The 20,511-nt window shown below is 49.4% G+C and overlaps 2 annotated features.

Moving 5' to 3' along the window:
- Positions 82-1,172: an enhancer, noted in NCBI's record as "CDK7 strongly-dependent group 2 enhancer chr22:47571494-47572693 (GRCh37/hg19 assembly coordinates)". NCBI's record gives its function as "activates an origin of replication core promoter dependent on BRD2, BRD4, P300/CBP, MED14 and CDK7 cofactors, with strong dependence on CDK7, by STARR-seq in HCT116 cells {active_cell/tissue: HCT116}" and the evidence as "EXISTENCE:reporter gene assay evidence [ECO:0000049][PMID:35650434]".
- Positions 16,649-17,149: an enhancer, noted in NCBI's record as "H3K4me1 hESC enhancer chr22:47588168-47588668 (GRCh37/hg19 assembly coordinates)". NCBI's record gives its function as "activates a minimal SCP1, AML or CMV promoter by ChIP-STARR-seq in naive H9 embryonic stem cells {active_cell/tissue: H9 hESC(naive)}" and the evidence as "EXISTENCE:reporter gene assay evidence [ECO:0000049][PMID:30033119]".

Consider the following 20,511-nt stretch of genomic DNA (forward strand, 5'->3'; position numbering starts at 1 on the left):
TGAGCTCAGGGCCATTGCGGCGCACCAGCGTGGGCCCGGCAGCACCCGTGATCTCGCTGCCCCCCGCAGGACCTCTCAGGGAGATGGGGCTGCAGCTGCTCAGGTGGTGCAGGGATGCCACTTGCCCGGGCGGGGCAAGACTCAGAAACCAGTCTGACCCCCGAAGCCCGGCTCTGCACTAGCTGGAACACGGGAGTGTGGGGTCCAGGCTGGCCCCTGTCAGGCTCCTGAACAAGGGACCTCCCCTTGGGCCACATCTGTCAAGCACCTGCTTTGAAAAGGGCTGTTCCGGGGTAGGCACCAGGGTCTGGGGTCCCCCCCGCCTCTCCTGGGATACACTTGCCTCACCCTCACCCACACACTGAAACACCCTCCTTGCCCTGTGTTACTGAAGCAAGGCCCTTCAAAGGGCCTCAGTTTCTCAGGGCAGCTTTCCAGGTGCGCCACACCCCTCTGAGTAACCCCGTCTGGGTGCCCCACCCTCAGGTACCCCACACCCCCCTGGGTGCCCCACCCTCGGGACCCTCCCTTGGCAGCACTTGGCTTTCCACTGCCTTGTGCTGTCCGCTGACGGGTGTGGGGTGTGCTCCTGTCCCCGCGGGTGTGGGGTGTGCCCCTGTCCCCGCGGGTGTGGGGTGTGCCCCTGTCCCCGCGGGTGTGGGGTGTGCCCCTGTCCCCGCGGGTGTGGGGTGTGCCCCTGTCCCCGCGGGTGTGGGGTGTGCCCCTGTCCCCGCGGGTGTGGGGTGTGCCCCTGTCCCCGCGGGTGTGGGGTGTGCTCCTGTCCCCGCGGGTGTGGGGTGTGCACTACTGACCGGCTGTGGGGTGTGCTCCAGTCCCCACGGGTGTGGGGTGTGCTCCTGTCCCCACGGGTGTGGGGTGCGCACTACTGACCAGGTGTGGGGTGTGCTCCTGTCCCCGTAGGTGTGGGGTGTGCTCCTGTCCCCACGGGTGGGCTGGTGGCTCCACAAAGTGGGAGTAGCCTCTTCACCTCTCTTTCCACAGTGACCCAGTGCGGAGCTGAGCCAGGCAGGGCTGCCTTCCTGGGCCCGGTGGCCCGGCACATGGGCTGACCTCACTGTTGCCTGGCTGTGGTCTGCAGGGTCGTAGGCTGCAGGACGGAGATCGGCTGTCCCCAGCAGCCACCAGGTGTTCAGCTCCTGACTCCAGGTCACAGCCCAGCAACTGCCATTCACCTTCACGATTCCCCGGAGTTTGCAGCTCAGCAGTTGGCTCCTCGGGCCCAACTTGAGGTCTTCACAGCCTGTGCAGACTCTGCTCCTGTGGGTGGCCCGAGCCCAGGGGTCCTGAAATCAATCCCTGACCTGTGGTGGCTGCTGTCCTGTGCACCTCACCCTGCCCGGTCCCAGGGAGAGGCTCGGCCTGCTGGCACCACTGCTGTGCCCTTGGCAAGGTCAGACGCGTCGGGGAGCATTGGGGTCCTGGGGAGTAGGAGATGGAGAGTCTCTGTGGTTTGTACTTTTGGAAGAACTAGGAGGTGGGACGCTTCTGTGCCGTGTCACCGATGGATGGAAACAGGAGGAATACTGTCTGTGTTCAAGCAGACCCACTCCGCTGAGGACTTGGGGACAGGCTGCAGAATGACACGCGCCATCGCAGGCTGCAGCATGCCAGCCTCCATGCCGCCGTCCTCCAGAGCTGGAGGCTCCTCGTCAGCCCTGTGGCCCCAGTGATCTGCTCTCGGCCGCAGTCCTGGGGAGTTTGCCCAAGACTCAGACCCCTCGGGGTGTGGACCTCCCTGGGGCCTTCCCAGCCCCAGTCCACCCCACCGTTCCTCTCCTCTCTCAGCCCCAGCCCCTTGGCTTCCTTCTGGCTCTGCACTTTGCCCTGCGGGATTGCGGGCTGCTTGGGGTGGCCCCCACTCAGCTGTGAGGCCTTTCCACACCCACCCTGCAGCTCCTTGGCATGGAGGGTCCCCAGCACAGGATGGCCTCCACCCAGGAGGCACACGGCCGCTTACATGGTCCTGTGTGAGTGACCCAGCCGTAGTCCATTTTGTTGACAAGATGAGGCTGGCTATTCTTTCTTTTTTTATTTTTTTATTTCTTGAGACAGGGTCTTGCTCTGTGGCCCAGGCTGGAGTGCAGTGGTGTGATCTCAGCTCACTGCAACCTCTGCCTCCTGGGTTCAAGTGATTCTAATGCCTCAGCCTCCCGAGCAGCTGGGATGACAGGTGCCCGCCATGACACGCAGCTAATTTTTTTAGTAGTTTTAGTAGAGACGGGGTTTCACCATGTTGTCCAGGCTGGTCTCGAACTCCTGACCTCAACTGATCTGCCCACCTCGACCTCCCAAAGTGCTGGGATTATAGGTGTGAGCCATCGCGCCCGGCCTGATTATTCTTTTAGGAAAAAAAATTATATTCAACTTCCAGATAAGTGGATGTAAATATAAAAATTACCCCCAAATACTCAAAAATACATGGCTATTTTTATCATTGGGAATGGTAAAAGGCTTTCTTAGCATGACGCCAGTGGCAAAAACAAGATAGAAAAAGACTGATGATATATATCCGTAGTATGCGCTACCAAAGCAAATGGCAGGGACGACTAAGACCCAACCTTCATCACCAAAGACAAGTGTGAATGACACGCTGGTTCACCTAGGCAAGGCGGATTCAGATTCCTCAGCATGCGGAGTTCCTGGAAATTGATAAAAATGGGCACAGCACAGAAAATGGGCAGTTCACAAAAGTGGTGCAGGTGACCCATGAGAAGTTCACATCACCAATGGTTACAGAAATGAAAATCATTCACCAGCCACTTGCCCCCACCAGGGCTGGCTGCGTGACCTTGGGCTGTGTCTATGATCATCTGTTATGCAGCAATACAAAACAAATACCCTCTCTCTTTTAGTCTGTATTTTTTTCTGAATATTTTGCAGTGGTTTTTCGTTGTTGCTGTTTTTACATTTAAGCTGTGAAGTGGCAGACACAACACAAACCTAGCTCTCGGAGAATCATTACAAAGCAGACACCCCATGTGATAGGGTTTGGATGTATCCCCACCCAATTCTCATCTTGAATTGTAGCTCTTGTAATTCCCATGTATTGTGGAAGGGACCTGGTGGGAGATAATTGAATCATGGCGACGGTTTTCCCCACACTGTTCTCATGGTAGTGAATCAGTCTCACGAGATAGGATGGTTTTGTAAGGGGAAACCCCTTTCGCTTGGCCCTCATTCTCTCCTGCCGCCATCCATGTAAGACATGACGTTGTGCCTCCTTGCCTTCTGCCAGGATGGTAAGGCCTCCCCAGCCACGTGGAACTGTGAGTCTATTAAACCTCTCTTCTTTATAAATTACCCAGTCTCACGTATGTCTTTATTAACAGCATGAGAATGGTCTCATACACCATGTAACCACAACCCTGGTTGAGAAATAGAACATGACCCACACTGGATCTCCCTGTGTGCTCCCTCCTCCCAAACATGACACACCGCTGACTTCCAAACCATCCTTTAGTTCTGCTTATTTGTACACTTTTATTATATGAATGGAATTATACAATATATACTCTTGTGAACAACTCTTCCTGCTCAACTTTCTGTTTTTTGTTTTGTTTTGTTTTTGAGATGGAGTCTCACTCTGTCGCCCAGGCTGGAGTGCAGTGGTGCAATCTGGGCTCACTGCAAGCTCTGCCTCCCAGGTTCACGCCATTCTTCTGCCTCAGCCTCCCGAGTAGCTGGGACTACAGGTGCCTGCCACCACGCCCGGCTAATTTCTTTGTATTTTTAGTAGAGACGGGGTTTCACCATGTTAGCCGGGATGGTCTCCATCTCCTGACCTCGTGATCCGCCCGCTTCGGCCTCCCAAAGTGCTGGGATTACAGGTGTGAGCCACCACGCCTGGCTTCAACTTTCTGTTTGTGGGAGTATCTGTGTGGTATTAAGCATGGTTTCTTCTTTTCCATTGCTGTAAAGTTTTCCATGACATGGATAGATTGCAATTTGTCCCTTCTACTCCTGCTGGACATTTGGATTGTGTCCAGTTTGGGGGCGTTATAAACAATGCCCCTCTGAATATCTGCGTGCCTGTCTCTCGGTGGACACGTGCCCCCGTTCTGTGGTTTTCTTTCCCCTAGAAGCGGAATTGCAGAGCCATAGGGCATGCATCCTTCCCTCTAATAGATCATGAGAAATGATTTTACAAAGCACCTTTTCCAGCTTACATTTCCACTGGCAGGTCGATGGTTCTCGTTTCTCCACATCCTTGCCCACACTGGGTGTGGTCGGTCCTAGCCCTTCTCATGGGTGTGTCTGCATCTCTGGGTAATCGTCCTTCCCTGCTGCTCACAGAGCTGCATACATGGGCTCTCTCAAAACTCCCATTGTGGTGGAGCACCTGTTTCCTCCCTGCTGCAACCAAAAGAGACAGAAAGAGACTGACTCGGGATTTTTTGTGATGCTATGATCATAAGCATTTTCTCATATTATTACAATTCTTCAAAAATGTGATTTTAATGACTGCATAATATGCAGTTGCATGGATTCACATAATTTATTCCTTTATTATTCATCAAGTTGCTGCTATTTTTTTCCTCTAGCAAATGGTGCTGTGATAAATGTCTACATTTCTGGGTACTTTTTCCATAATACATTTTTAGTAGTGGGATTCTTCAGTTATTGCCGAATACAGGAGTCAGCAAAATCACTGCCGCCCTCCCCACCCCACAGTGGCTTGCAACAGTGGCTGCAGGTCTGCTCATCTGGTTTTCTTTGGAATGTCTTAGAAAATATAAGTTTGAGAAATTATTTAGAAATTTAAAGATAACGTTGGAAATTGAGTGTGTAACTTCCAGGAGAGGGGAAAAAGAAAAAGAAGGAACAAAGTTGAGAAGGCAAGAAAAGAGGTAGGAAAAAAAAGCAAAGAAAAACTATGATAAATACAAAGCATTAATTACCAGCGCCCAAGCAAGTTCAGCTATGATCATGATAGATAATTTACACTCACCTATTCAAAAGGAGATACATTATGCTTTTAAAATCTCCATAAAAGCCAACAACATACTATTGATGAGAGATACATCAAGACTAAAAATTTTGTTTGAAATGGAGGGATGGAAAAAATATGGGGGAAATACTACCCACCTCCCCAAATGTGGTTGGAATATCTGTATTCCCCCAAATCACATTTGAAAAGCATTAACAAGGACAAAGAGAGCTTTGTCTCATGACTGAGTGAAGTGCTTTGTCATATGACCAAAAGCGTTTCACTCAGTCATGGACCTGCGTAGATATAACAACATAACCTAACCTCAGCATAAACAAGGCAAAAGTGGGTACAATGATGATGAAATACTGACCTATCCACAAGTATAATGGGAAATTATAACTCATCTGCAGAAAATGATGGACCAATGAGAAAAAGGTTTAAAAAGACAATCAAAATAATAAATACAGAAACAAAAGTTACTGGAGTAGAAAAGAAAACACAAATAATGGAATTGACTGAAAAAAACCCAAAAGTTTACTTTTAGACAAGACTAATAATGGAGGCTTGAGAGTAAGCATCTTTGCCTTTTCTGCAGTTGGTGTATCTCCAGCATTCAGAAACAGGACCTGTCTATAGTAGGAGCTGAATAATGTTTGTTGAATGACAAATAGATAAACTCCTAAGGATTAAAATCCAACTGTAATAATGAAGGGAGGTGAAACTGCAGATGCTGAAGATATTTTAAATATTACAAGCATCAAGAGAACCAAAATCAAGCCATAGAGTGGGAGAAAATAATTGCAAAAGACATACCTGATAAAGAACTGCTCTCTAAAATTTAAAAAGAACTCTTAACAATAAAAAACAAACAGCCCAACTTTAAAATGGGCAAAAGATCTGGACAACTCACCCAAGAAGATACCCAGATAGCAAATAAGCACACAAAAATATGCTTAGCATATTGCAAAATATGCTCAACAATGAAATACCACTACCCACAGAATGGCCAAAATCTGATAGAAGCAGGAGAGGCAGAGCAAGGTGGCAGAATAGAAATCTCCACCAATCAATCGTCCCCTCACACAAGGATGCCAAGTTAACAACTACCTACACAGAAAAAACAGCCTTCGTAAGAGCCAAAAATCAGACACACCCTAGACCAGAAGGGAATCCACTGCCCTGAAGGAAAGGACCCAGTCCTGTCAGCATTCATCACCTGCTAACTGAAGAGCCCTTGGGCCCTGAATAACCAGCAGTGATACCCAGGTACTATATCAAGGGCCGTGGTGAGCCTCTGAGACTTGCTGGCTTTAGGTACCAACACTGCCACAGGGAGTTAAAGCATCAAGTGAGCTCTTTGAGTCCCCAGTTCTAGGACTTGACTCTTGGATGGCATTTCTGGGCTTGCCCTGTTCCAGAGGGGAGCCCACTGCCCTGAAGGCTTTAGGTGGCTCAGAATTGAGACAGAGACTGTGCATTTGGGAGAAAGTAAGGGAAGAGAACAAGAGTCTCTGCCTGGTAATCCAGAGAATTGTTCTGTGTCTTATCCAAGACCATCAAGCTGGTACCTCTATAAGTCTGCAAGAACCGCAGTGTTACTGGGTTGGGGTGCTCCGTAAAAGAGAAATGACTTAGATCATAACACCCAAGTCCTTTCAAATAACTCGAAAGCCTTGCCAAGAAGGATGGCTACAAATAAGCTCAGACAGTGAAGACTACAACAAATATGTAACACTTCGATACCCAGACATCAAAGAACATCTGCTAGCATCAACACCAACCAGGAAAACATGACCCCACCAAGTGAACTAAATAAGGCACCAGGGACCAATCCTGGAGAAACAGATATGTCACCTTTCAGACAGAGAATTCAAAATAGCTAAATTGAGGAAACTCAAAGAAATTCAAGATAACATAAGGAATTCAGAATTCTATCAGATAAATTTAACAGCTTGAAATAATTAAAAAGTGATTCGCAGAAATTCTGGGGCTGAAAAATGCAATTGGCCTACTGAAAAATGCATCAGCTTCCTTTAATAGCAAAATGGTTCAAGCAGAAGAAAGAATTAGTGAACTTGAAGACAGCCTGTTTAAAAATACACAGGAGGCCAGGGGCGGTGGCTCATGCCTGTAATCCCAGCACTCTGGGGAGGCCAAGGCAGGTGGATCACAAGGTCAGGAGTTCGAGACCAGCATGGCCAATAGGGTGAAACCCCATCTCTACTAAAAATACAAAAAAATTGGCCGGGCATGGTGGTGGGCACCTGTAGTCCCAGGTACTCGGGAGGCTGAGGCAGGAGAATTGCTTGAACTCAGGAGGTGGAGGTTACAGTGAGCCGAGATTGTGCGACTGCGCTCCAGCCTGGGCAACAGAGCAAGACTCCATTTAAAAAAAAAAAAAGCAGGAGACAAAAGAAAAAAGAATACAAAATAATGAAGCCTGCCTACACGATCTAGAAAATAGCCTCAAAGGGGCAAATCTAAGAGTTATTGACCTTACAGAGGAGGTAGAGAAAGAGATAAGGGTAGAAGGTTTATTCAAAGGGATAATAACAGAGAAAGAGATCAATATCCAAGAACCAGAAGGTTATAGAACACCAAGCAGGTTTAACCCAAAGATGATTACCTCAAGGCATTTAATAATCAAACTTCCAAAGATCAAGGATAAAGGATCCTAAAAGCAACAAGAGAAAAGAAACAAATAACATAGAGTTGGGCTTTAATACGTCTGGCAGCAGACTTTTCAGTGGAAACCTTACAGGCCAGGAGAGAGAAGCATGACATATTTGAAGTGCTGAAGGAAAAGAACTTTTACCCTAAAATAGTATATCCAGCAAAAATATCCTTCAAACATGAAGGAGAAATGAAGACTTTCCTAGACAAACAAAACCTGAGGTATTTCATTAATGCCAGGACCATGCTACAAGAAATGCTAAAGGGAGTATTTCAACCAGAAAGAAAATTACATTGATGAGCAATAAATAGTCACCTGAAGGCAAAAAAACTTACTGGTAATAGTAAGTACACAGAAAAACACGACGTATTATGACAATGTAACTGGGGTGTGTAGACTCCTCTTACCCTAAGTAGAAAGACTAAACAATGAACCAATAAAAAATTATAACTACAACAACTTTTCAAGACATAGTATGATAAGATATAAATAGAAACAACAAAAAGTTAAAAAGTAGGGGGATGAGGCCGGGTATGGTGGCTCACGCCTGTAATCCCAGCACTTTGGGAAGTCGAGGTGGGCAGATCACGAAGTCAGGAGTTCGAGACCAGCCTGGCCAACATGGTGAAAACCCATCTCTACTAAAAATACAAAAACTAGCTGGGTGTGGTGGCACATGCCTGTAATTCCAGCAACTCAGGAGGCTGAGGCAGGAGAATCACTTGAACCTGGGAGGCAGAGGTTGCAGTGAGCTGAGATCATGCTGTCCATTACACTGTAGCCTCCAGCCTGGGTGACAGAGTGAGACGCCATCTAAAAAAAAAAAAAAAAAAAAAAAAAAAAAACCTCTATTACCATAGCTAGAAGCTGTAATGAAAAGTCTTCCAGTAAAGAAAAGCCTGGGACCTCATTGCTTCACTGCTGAATTCTGCCAAACATTTAAAGAAGAACTAATACCAATCCTCCTCAAACTATTCCAAGAAATAGAGGAGGAGGGAATGTTTCCAAACTCAGATTTCTATGAGGCCCAGTATTACCCTGATACCAAAACAAAGACATATCAAAAAGAAACCTACTGGACAATGTATCAGTGATGCAGAAGTCCTCACAAAATACTAGCAAACTGAATTCAGCAATACGTTAGAAAGATCATTCATTATGACCAAATGTGATTTATCCCTGGGATGTAAGGCTGGTTCAACATATGCAAATCAATCAACATGGTACATCATATCCAAAGAATGAAGGATAAAAACCATATGATTATTTCATTTGATGCTGAAAAAGTATTTGATGAAATTCAACATCCTTTCATAATCAAAATCTTCAAAAAAAAACTGGATATGGAAGGAATATACGTCAACATAATAAAAGCCATATACTACAGACCCACAGCTAGTATCACACTGAATGGGGAACAACTGAAAGCCTTTTCTCTAAGATCTGGAACATGACAAGGATGCCCACTGTCACCACTGTTATTCAACATAGTATACTGAAGTCCTAGCTAGAGCAATCAGACAAGAGAAATATATAAAGAATATCCAAATTGGAAAGGAAGAAGTCAAATTATCCTTGTTTGTTGATGATATGATCTTATATTTGGAAGAACCTAAAGACTTCAGAAGGAAACTATTAGAACTGGTAAACAAATTCAGTACAGTTGCAAGATACAAATCATCATACAAAAATCAATAGCATTTCTATATGCCAACAGCAAACAATGTGAAAAAGAAATTTAAAAAGTAATCTAATTTATCATGGCCACATAAAATTAAATACCTAGGAGTGAACTTAACCAAAGAAGTGAAAAATCTCCATAATGAAAACTATAAAATGCTGATGAAAGAAATTGAAGAGGACGCCAAAAAATGAAAAAATATTCCATGTTCATGGATTGGAAGAATAAATATTGGTAAAATGTACATACTACCCAAAGCAGTCTACAGATTCAATAAAATCCCTATCAAAATACCAAAGACATTCTTCACGGAAATAGAAAAAACAATCCTAAAATTTATATGGAACCACAGAGACCCAGAATAGCCAAAGCTAGCCTAAGTGAAAAGAACAAAACAGGAGGAATCACATTACCTGACTTCAAATTATACTGTAGAGCTATAGTAACCAGAACAGCATGGTACTGGCATAAAAACAGACACATAGACCAATGGAACAGAACAGAGAACCCAGAAACAAATCCACACACCTACAGTGAAATCATTTTTGACAAAGGTGCCAAAAATACTGGGGAAAAGATAGTCTCTTCAATAAATGGTGCTGGGAAAGCTGAATCTCCATATACAGAAGAATGAAACTAGACCTGTATCTCTTGTCATATACAAAAATAAAAAAAATACAGTCTTAAATCTAAGACCTCAAACTATGAAACTACTACAGGAAAACATTGGGGAACATCTCCGGGACATTGATCTGGGCAAAGATTTCTTGAGTAATACCCCACAAGCACAGACAACAAAAGCAAACATGGACAAATGAGATCACATTAGTTAAAAAGCTTCTGCACAGCAAACAACCAATAAAGTGAAGAAACGATCCACAGAATGGGGGAAAATATTTGCAAACTACTCCTCTGACAAGGGATTAATAACCAGAGTGTATAAGGAGCTCAAACAACTCTACAGGAAAAAAATCTAATGATCTGATCAAAAATGGGCAAAAGATTTGAATATACATTTCTCAAAAGAAGCCATACATACAAATGTCATACAGGCTTATGAAAAAGTGCTTAGCACCACTGATGTCAGATAAATGCAAATCAAAACTATTAATACAATGAGATATCATCTTATGCCAGTTAAAATAGATTATATCCAAGGGACAGGCAATAACAAATGCTGGCAAGGATGAGGAGAAAAGGGAACCCTTGTACACTATTGGTAGGAATGTAATTAACTACAACCACTGTGGAGAACAGCTTGGAAGATCCTCAAAAAACTAAAAATTGAGCTACCATATGATCCAGCAGTCCCACTATATATATATAAAATCTCCAAAAGAAGGGAAATCAGTGTATGGAAGAGGTATCAGCACTCCTGTTTATTGCAACACTGTTTACAATAGCCAAGATTTGGAAGCAATCCAAGTGTCTGTCCAACAGATGAATGGATAAATAAAATATGGTACATATACACAATGGAGTACTATTCAGCCATAAAAAAGCATGAGATCCCATCATTTACAACAACATGGATGGAACTGGAGGTCATTATGTTAAGTGAAATAATCCGGGAACAGAAAGACAAACATTGCATGTTCTCACTTTTTTGTGGGATCTAAAAATCAAAACAGTTGAACTAGTGGACATGGAGAACAGATGTTTGATGACCAGAGGCTGGAAATGGTAGTGGAGGGTTGTGTGGGAAGGTGGGGATGGTAAATAGGTACAAAAAAATAGAAAGAATGAATAAGACCTACTATTTGATATCACAACATGGTGACTATAGTCAATAACAACAATTGTATATTTTAAAATAATGTAATTGGATTGTTAGTAACTCAAAGGATAAATGCTTGAGGGGTGGACACCCCATTCTCCATGATGTGCTTAGTTCACATTACATGTCTGTATCAAAACATCTTATGTACCCCTAAATATATACACATATATACCCACAAAAATTTAAAAAATATTTACAAAATTAAAAATAGAATGGCCAAAATCCAAAACACCAACACCACCAAATACTGATGAGGATGTGGAGCAACAGGAACTCTCACTCATTGCTGGTGGGAATGTAAAATGGTGCAGCCACTTTGGAAGACAGTTTGGCAGTTTCTTCTAAAGCTAATTGTATTCTTATCATATAATCCAGCAGTCATGCTTCTAGATATTTACCCAATTGAGTTGAAAATGTTCAAACACAGAAAACTACAAATGAATGTTTACTTATAATTGTCCAAACTTGGAAGCAACAAAAATGTCTTTCAAGAAGTGAATAAACAAACTGTGATATACCCATGCAATGGCATATTCTTCAGTGATAAGAAAGAAATGAGCTGTGAAGCCATGAAAAGACATGAAGGGAATTTTAATGCATACAGCTAAGGGAAAGAAGCCAATCTGAAAAGGCTACACACTATGACTTCAAGTATATAACATTCTGGAAAAAGCAAAACCACGGAGACAGTAAATACATGAGTGGTTTCTAGGGGCTGGGGGTAGGGGGATGAATAGGCAGAGCGCGGAGGATTTTTAGGGCAGTGAAGCTGCTCTGTACGATTCTGTAATGGTGGATAATGGTGTACATTTGTCCAAATCCATAGACTGCACAACAGCAAGAGTGAACCTAATGCAAACTGTTGACCTTGGAAGATAGTGATGTGTCAATGTTGGTCATCGATTATGTCTGTGAAATGTGTCTATGGTTCAGGGCGCCGGCCTTGGAGGGGGCAGATGTGGGTGGGGTTAGGTGGGAACTACGTGTACTTTCTGCTTATTTTTGTTATGAACCTGAGTGCCCTAAAAACTGTAGTCTATTAATTTTAAAAAATCATAAGTGCATCCTATGAGCAGCTTTGTACCTACGAATTTGAAATTCTGGCTGAAATGGGCAACTTTCTAGAAAAATACAGATGACAAATATTGACTCAAAAAGGAAATAAAAACCCTGAATAAATCACAAATCACTCCGTAACTTGAAAGGGCTGCCTCAGATCTCTCCTTTCCAAAGGCCCCATGCTCAGATGGTTTTATGTCAGCTTTCCCAAACCTCAGGGATCAGAATTTAGGGCATAAAAGAATGCATGAGATTGGAGTCGCTGGCACAGTCGGGGTGGGCTCAAAGCCATGGCTGCATCTGACCAGCCTCAGGCCATGCCGGGGTCTTGCCTGGGTGGCCTGCTGGGACTTCATTGGACCATGAAGCTGGGTTTTGCTGCCTTGCCGTTGGCTTTTACCGCCTGTGGCCTGGGCAGGGGCTCCGGCCTCTCAAGAACTGCATACAGCCAGTGGTGGGGGCTTGAACCAAGGCATGTCTTGGGGGCTGGACCTCGGGAGCAGCTGCTGGCTGCCGCGTGACCTGGCCACATCCAGCAGAGGTGTGTGGGAGGTGGGGCTGGGGCAGTGGGGTCCAGACGCAGTCACAGAGAGGGTCATTGGCTGCTTGTATGATTTTAGGATATGGTTACATCACGTCTGCTGGCTGTGGGAGTCCACAGGGTTCCCAGACCGCCTATGTACTGTCTGTCAATCCTCAGGCCAGCAAAGCCGGCAGGTGCAGGGCAGCCACATCCTGTCCTGGTGCTTTTGAACTGGATTCAGATCTAAGGAAGAAAACGTGGGGGGACCCGACCAACCTCTCCTTCAGATTGTTCTGGTTAATTAAAAACCTGAGGCCGTGGCCTTAGTGTTCAGTGGCCCATACTGGCGGTGGATTTTATTTTAAAACAAATAAGGACAATGAGGTTGGGGGTGGTGCTTACAGTCAAGAGAATATGGCATCTGTTTACATGGAGACAGAAGCAGCTCAGCAAAGGTCTCCCCAAGCCCACGGCCAGGAGGGAGCCTGAGGAGGAGGGGCTGGGCTTCCACGGAGCAATGGAAGCAGGGACCAGAGGGAGCAAGAGGTTCCCATGAGAGCCTGGATGCACCTTAACTGGAGAAGCCACCAGAGAAACACGGACAGTGCCTCAGATGTGAGGCTCCCAGAGAGCGCCCAGGAAAAGGGGGACCTGAGGCTGGGACCAGTGACGGCCAGCCAGAGACCTAACAGGACCGGGGAGGAAGGGACTCCTCCCTCAGGAGGGACAGAGGGGCGGCACACACTCCCAAGAGCCACCTCAGAGTCCAGGGACAGGTGGGTGAGTCCCAGCTTACAGATCTCTCTTATAGGCGACTCCCTGCGTGCTCTGCGTGGCTGCAATAGAGAAAAGTGGACACACCCTAGTCATTCCATAGGAAATTAACACAGTGTCAGGTGTTCCTTCGCGTGGCGGGGTGCGTACGATGCCCGGTTAAGATGAGTAGGTTCATAAGGTCCTCATGTGGACACCAGTAACACCAGTAAGAAAGCAGTGGAGCATGGAGCAGGGCACTGTGACGGCTGCCGCCCCCTTGCTCACAGCCAGCCCCCCGCATGCTCACAGCCGGCACACAACCCCCTAGTGCTCACAGCTGACCCCCTGCCATGTCAGCCGGGGAGGCATCCCCCACCATGCTCACAGCCAGCCGGAGGGTCTCTAGGATCTCACCAGGACGACCCCAGCCGCCCTAGCACTAGCGAGGAGGCACTATCCTTGTTCCCTTACAGAGGGAAAACCCAAGGCTCGGAGAAACCACAAAGCTGCCCAAAGAGACGCAGCCCCTCCTGGGGGCCGGGATGGGAACTCGGGCAGGGGCATCCACAGGCTCAGCCCCCCGAGCTGCTGTTCCCCTGCCACATCAGCGACCCACGTGTGTATCATTTGTGGACATGTCTGTGAAGACGGAAAGCACAGGATGGAGAGAGGTGAGCCAGTCAGCGTGACCGTGGGAAGGCGGGCGAGGTGGCGGGGAGGAGGGCAGCGGGAGCTGTGTTATTTATTACCTGATGTTGTATATGCATTTGAGCTAATTATATCTCTATTATATTTACATATTATACGTTCATATATTTGTATATTTTTGTATATATTTAAATAATTATATAACTTACATTTATACATATTAAGTTACACTTTCTTATAATCTGAGTGATTCAGATACAACCAGATGTATGTACAATACAACCAGAGAGATGTTAATGGGTTAATCCCGGGTTGTGGGTATGAGAGTGTTTGTTAAATTATTCATTTTCTTTTCTGTAATTTTTAATTGATTTTTTCAAAAAAAGACTTGGCCTGGCCCTTGGGAGCCGGAGCCTGTGGCTTGTTGAGCCAAGGGGTGAGGGGCCAGGAGGGCTGGTAGCCCCCTGTGCTGCACAGACGTGGGGGGATGGCACAGCGGCCTCGGCCACTGTGTCCCAAAGTTTGCCTCTCCTTCCTGGAGGGAAGCCGCGTGGCTGTGGCATAAGCCCCGCCCCGCCCCATCTGTCTGTCCCTGCGTGGGGTCTGGCCTGGAGAAGCTAAGAGGCCTGCTTGGGAAGGAGCCAGGGGGCAAGTGCTGCCCTCCCCAGGAGCCCTCCCCACCCAGCGCCCGCACCCTCCCCCTGGCCGTCTCTCTTAACCCGTTCCATTTTCTTCAAGGTATGACTGTCACCTACAAGGATCCCGTGTTGTTGACTAGTCTAGGGTCCTCTCTCCACTAGGCCACCAACTCCACGAAACAGGACCGTGTCTTTCTCGTCCATTCCTGTCCCAGCATCTAGAACAGGGCTGGACATGTGGCTGGGCCCGTGGCGGGTCCTTGACAACATTTGAGAGGTGAAGGAATGAGCTCCAGATAGACCAGGGAGCTCGGCCCAGGGCTTTGCACCGAGGGAGGCCGGGCGGACCCACATGACCTGTTTTCTGCACCTGGCTTTATTCCATTGCAGTGAACCTGGGGCAGCTTGATGGTTCCCCCATCCTCATCTGTCGAGGCTGAAGGCCCAGGGATATCCCTCCAGCTCTTGTCTTGGTGATCAGCTGGGCAGGAGAGATTTTATCCAGCAGGTGGCACGACGAGGCTGGCCTGGCACCGAGGAGGGTGATTGGTTGGTCATTTAACTCCACAAGCATTTATTGGACACCTGCTGTCTTCCAGGCATGGATCTGTGGAGTGACTGATGGCCCCTGGGGTGGGGATTATGGTTCCACTCCGGTGTCAAAGAGCAGAGTAGGACATTGGAGGTCACCTGCCCATGAGTGAGGACGCTGGTGTCAGGGCCCACACCTCTCCACCAAGTCAGCAGCTGCTAGGTGGATGTGGCCGGGGCTTCACAGCAGTGAGGGTGGCCCAGCCTCGCTCTTCCTGGTGACAACCAGCAGAAGGTCATCTCTGCTCCCCACACCAGGTCAGAGTCTCTTAGTAAACTTGGTGACCACCATCCTCATGCACCCGCCACCAGGGAATGCTAATGAGGACAGAGGACCCAGGGACAGCCACTGCTGACCCGGCTATTAAAAATAATTGGCCACCCATAAAGTGGACGAAAAATGTGTTTGCCTCCAGTTTGGCTGGGAAATGTGAATTATTCTCATGTTGCCATAGAAACCAAGGTAAGTTCCTAACATCTTTCAGATACTTAATTTTGTGAGCCCAGTGATGGTCATTGTTCATTGTTCAGAAAAGCAGGAGGAGAGAGACGGAATGAGAGGGAGAGGGGAAGAGACAGAGAGAAAGAAAGAGAGGGAGAGAGAGAGAGAGGGAGAGAGAGGTGGGGGAGAGAGGGAGAAAGGGGGGGAGAGAGGGAGAAAGGGGGGGAGAGAGGGAGAAAGCGGGGAGAGAGAGGGGAGGGAGACAGAGAAAAGGAGGGGAGAGATGGAGAGAGGGAGAGAGAAACAGAGACGGGGGAGAGAGAGATGGAGAGGGAGAGAGAGAGGGAGAGAGAGGAAGGGAGAGGGAGAGGAAGAGTGAGGGAGAGAGAGAGGGGGAGGGAGAGGAAGAGACCCAGAGAGAAAGAGAGACAGGGGAGGAGAGAGGAGGGGGAGAAAGAGAGAAAGAGAGAGAGAGGGAGGGAAGGAGAGGGATAGATGGAGGAGGCAGGGGAAGGAGAGAGAGAGAAAGAGAAGGATGCCATCCCTGCGTCTCTGAGTCTGCAGCACGCGCTGGCTCCTGGAAGCCTCCTTGGCAGCAGCCTGGACTGGACGTGGGGGGATTCCGGCTCACGGGGGCCGTGCACTCTGTTTCCCAAGCGTCCCTGGGGGCCCTGCTCTGCTGTCTCTCTGAGGATCCCTGATTCTTCCTCTCAGGCCTAGTGCTGTCCCTAGCCCTGCGTGCTCTGGGCCCTGCGCAGCCACCAGTAACTTAAGGAGTAAAGGGGCCAGGTCAGCATGCCCGTCTCTGCCTCCTCCTCACTGGTGTGCGGGGGGCCCCCCCGCCCCCTGTCCTTCTGAGAGAATGCATTCCTCCGCTGGGAGCCGTGGGGTCTGGCTCAGCCTGCCTTGGGCCTGCCAGCTGTGCCCGTGTGAGGACGGTGCCTGCCAGGGCATCATGGGGGTGTGGCGTTGCTGGGGCCTGGCACCGATGGCTGCTCCAGGAGTCCTTGCTCTCCAGTGACTTCCTGGGACAGCGGGGCGGAGGCTTCTGGCTTGGGCTGCAGCCACTGGCTGTGGGATGTGGGGTCAGGGCACTGCTCAGGACCCCGGGAGGTCAGGCTGTGTCCAGGCGTGGCTTGCTGGGACACTCCTCATCTCGCCCTGACCAGCCTCTTTCCCCGGCCCCTCCACAGAACCAGCCGATCCTGTGGCGTCTGAGCCCTGGTGCTCACTCCTACCCCTGGATGTGTGGCCTGTCTGCAGTTCCCCTCTTGCCCGCCTGCCCCGGACCAGTCCCCTGCATTCTAATTGCCGGGACCCAGCGGCTGTCCGCACCCCCCACCTCTGCCTGGGCTCCTCCCTCTGCCCGTAAAGGCTTCTGTATCTGGAAAACCCCCGGGCGTGTTTAAGGGCCATGGTCGAGGGCTCTCCTGTGGTAGCTCCATCTGTGAGACCCTGGAGAGCCCCGTCCTGCTCTGTCCAGCCCCCACCCTATGTCACGGGAGTGCACCTGCAGCCTTTCGCCCCCTCCTCCTGGCAGGGACAGGCTCCAGCCTGGCCACTCCAGCCTCGCGGGGTGGACCAGGGGGAGCACCTCGGTAGGGGTTCCCCAGCTCTGCAGTAGCAAGGGGGAGGCCCAGCTGCCTCCATGTGCAGGGGAGTGGACCCCCACTTCCTTTGCAGAGCAGAACCATCCTCAAGGTGTCTGGGGCCGGTGGGCGTGGCAAGGCAGAAAGGGGGCGGGGGCGTGGTCATGGGGCGGGGCATCTTGAGGCATGGCATCATGGGGGCGTGGCAGTGGCGTTGCTGGGGCCTGGCACCGTGGGGTGGGGCATCTTGAGGCGTGGCATCGCAGGGGGTGTGGTGTCCTGGGGGTGGCGTCGCAGGGGCGGGGCATCACCTGTCAGTCCCCAGGTTGGGCTCCACTCACTTCCTGGTCTCTCCTCACAGCCCAGTGGAGACCATTTACTGCTTTTATTCCAGTTTCAAATCATTTACTTAGAAATTGTCTAGCATCCTGCTAGTAGTGGTAGGAAGAAGAGAAAAATGATCAACCTCAAAAATCCCAATTTTAAATTGAGTTGTTTGAAATAGCACAATTTCCAAATTACAGGCAGGTTAGAATATAGGAAAAACACATTGATCATTGATTTGAGAGAGAGACAGAAAGAGAGAGACAGAGAGGATGTGCCTCGGGGACCCTAGGGAGGAGGGGCCGTGTCCTGGGCAGGGGCCCGGTGCTGCTGGCCGAGCCCTGAAGGCTGACAGGCGTGAGCTGTGCACTTACCATCAAGTCTTATCCATACTTATACCTGTATGTATGTTTTCCACCATGAAGGTAGTAGAGGCCATTAACGAATTGGAAACTAGAGAGTAGGAGGAAGACAGGGCGAGTTCCCACCAGCCACCCCAGGGTTCCAGCCTCGACAGGCACTGCCTCAGCCCCAACCCTCCCGGGTCCTTGGAAAGTGTCCCCTAGTCACCTGAGCTTTCGGCTCCAGGCTTGGGGTGTTCACCGCTGCCCTAATTGTTTCTGTCTCTTCATCAAGACATCCCCGGTTTTAAGGTGGCACGGAGGGTGTCTGATGACGGACTCAAGGCCACAGACCAGTGCAGCTGAGAGACCGTCCAACGGGGAGGGGAGGTGTGGGCCAGCTGGACCTTGGCAGGGCCTTGGGGGAATCTGGGGGGCGCTCCAGGGGTGGTGCTAGGGGAGCCCTCCCTGGGTGTCCATACCCCAGCCTCCAAGCTCTTTCCACCCCCCAGACTGGGGGTTTTTTCCCTGAGCATTCATCGGGGCCCCGGGGCAGAACTTGGAAACCCCAGCTCCTGAAAGATTTCCATCGATTTTGCCAAATTAATGTTCTAGTTCTCCATGTCTCGGGAGCTGTAATGAAGTGTCAACGGGAACAAGAGGACGAAACGGATGAATAAAATGTCTTTTATGGTGTCATTACACTTTTATAATAAGATTTACTTGTCAACTTAAAATGTAATAATGTAATAATTTATTTGGTAACCTAATGAAGACCGCAGTTCAAGGTTCTAGGAGTCATAATTGCCCCTGGAAAGGTGAGGGCCCTTTCTCCGCACTCCACACCCAGCCACCCTTTTGTGCTGTCCAGATCCCCAAGGCGGGGGAGTGCAGAGCTGTTTCCGTCTGGCTGGGCCCATCCAAAGGGGTCAGTGGTTTAGAGACAGCAGGAAGTGCAGGCTAGGGCATAACCCACCCATGGGTCTCAGGCCAAAGCTTTCTCCTGATAAAGGGAAATGGGTTTCATATACTCAGCATCACTCATGCAGGCACACCCTGATCCCAGCCCAGAGCTGGGCTATGGGAGTCATCACAATCTGGGCTCATTCCAACCTGGGAGGGTCAGGGTTTTCAGAGAGATGGGACATTTCAGCTGGGCCTTGAAGAATGAATAGGAGTTTGTTGGATACAAGAGAACATTTTGGAAAGACAAGAGCATGAACAAAGGTGGAGGGGGCCTGGCTGGAGATCCAGTGTGGAACACAGCGTGGGGGAGTACGGAGATGGGTAAAGAGGAGCAAGAGAAAATTCTGGAAAAATAGACCAGGACCAGCTGCAGATGCCCTGAGGCTGAGGTCCCCAGAGCTTAGGGCTCTGGGAAAAGGAGCAGATGGGGTGTCCTCAGGGTGAGCTTTGGGGCTCTTTTTTGGGACTCTTGGTGGCTGCGATGCTTCTTGCTGAGCATGACTCTCTGCAGAGGTTGGGACCCGAGGCCTGGCGTGTCAGGAGGCAGCTGCAAGAAGCCTGATGGCTTGATCTTGGTGGGACTCCGAGGCGGGTGGGCATGGCAGTGCCGTCCATCAGGGCGCCCTGCTCTTTCTCCTGCACCCTGGAGCCCGAGCCTGCTGGGGGCCCCGCTCCTTTCTCTCCCTCCCAGAAGGCCTCAGCCCCTCCAAGCTCTCAGGGCAGCCCCCTCCTCTGTGCTTCCTCCTGGCCCTCTTGGAATCCCAAGTCATCCCCTCTCCCTGGGTGGGGAGTCTGGGTTTCCAGGCAGGAGTCAGGGTGGATTGTGGTGATGATGGTCCCCATCTGGTTTACTCCTCCCTGACCCTTGTGTCATCTCCTCCATCCTAACTCCGGCCCCTCCTCCTCCCAGGACAGTGTCCCCCCCACCGTCCTCCTGGTGTGTGCACCCCTGCACTGGGAGCTTGGTGGGGAGACGCTTGGCCACTAGGGCTAGGTCGGGACAAGGTTCCTCCCACTCCATGTCCGTGACACCCAGTCCTCCTCCACATTGAGCTCCTCGGCCAGGGCCCGAGGGGCTGAAGCTATTGCTGTGAGGTCCCAGCTGGTGGTGAACAGCGTCTCCAGGCTGTTGGGCTCAGTTCCAACCCTGCCTGCCCTCCCCCTGGGCTGCAGGACACAGGGTTCCACTTGGACTCATTCCAGTGACTCTTAAGAAAATGAATTTAGGACAGGAGGCAGCGAGGGAGGGAGGGAGAGGAGACTCAGTGTCTGGGCCATCTTGGCCTAAACCTGCTTGATGTTCCAGGTGGGTCATCCCTCCCGGCACGCTGGTGTCGGCTCGCCTGTGAGCTGACTCACCACTCATTCAACTCGCCACTCACCTCCTCTCTCTCCTTCTCTTCCGTAAGACTGAAGATGAACCTGACATCTTGAATAACTGGACAGAGGTTATCTGCGGCTTGGCCCTTGGGGACAAGTGGGAATGGGGGGCATGGTGCAGAGGGACCCTCGGCTGGCCTGGCTCTCATTTGATGGCTGCTGATTGCC

This window comes from Homo sapiens, chromosome 22 (genome assembly GCF_000001405.40).
Source record: "Homo sapiens chromosome 22, GRCh38.p14 Primary Assembly".
Classification (NCBI taxonomy): Eukaryota; Metazoa; Chordata; class Mammalia; order Primates; family Hominidae; genus Homo; species Homo sapiens.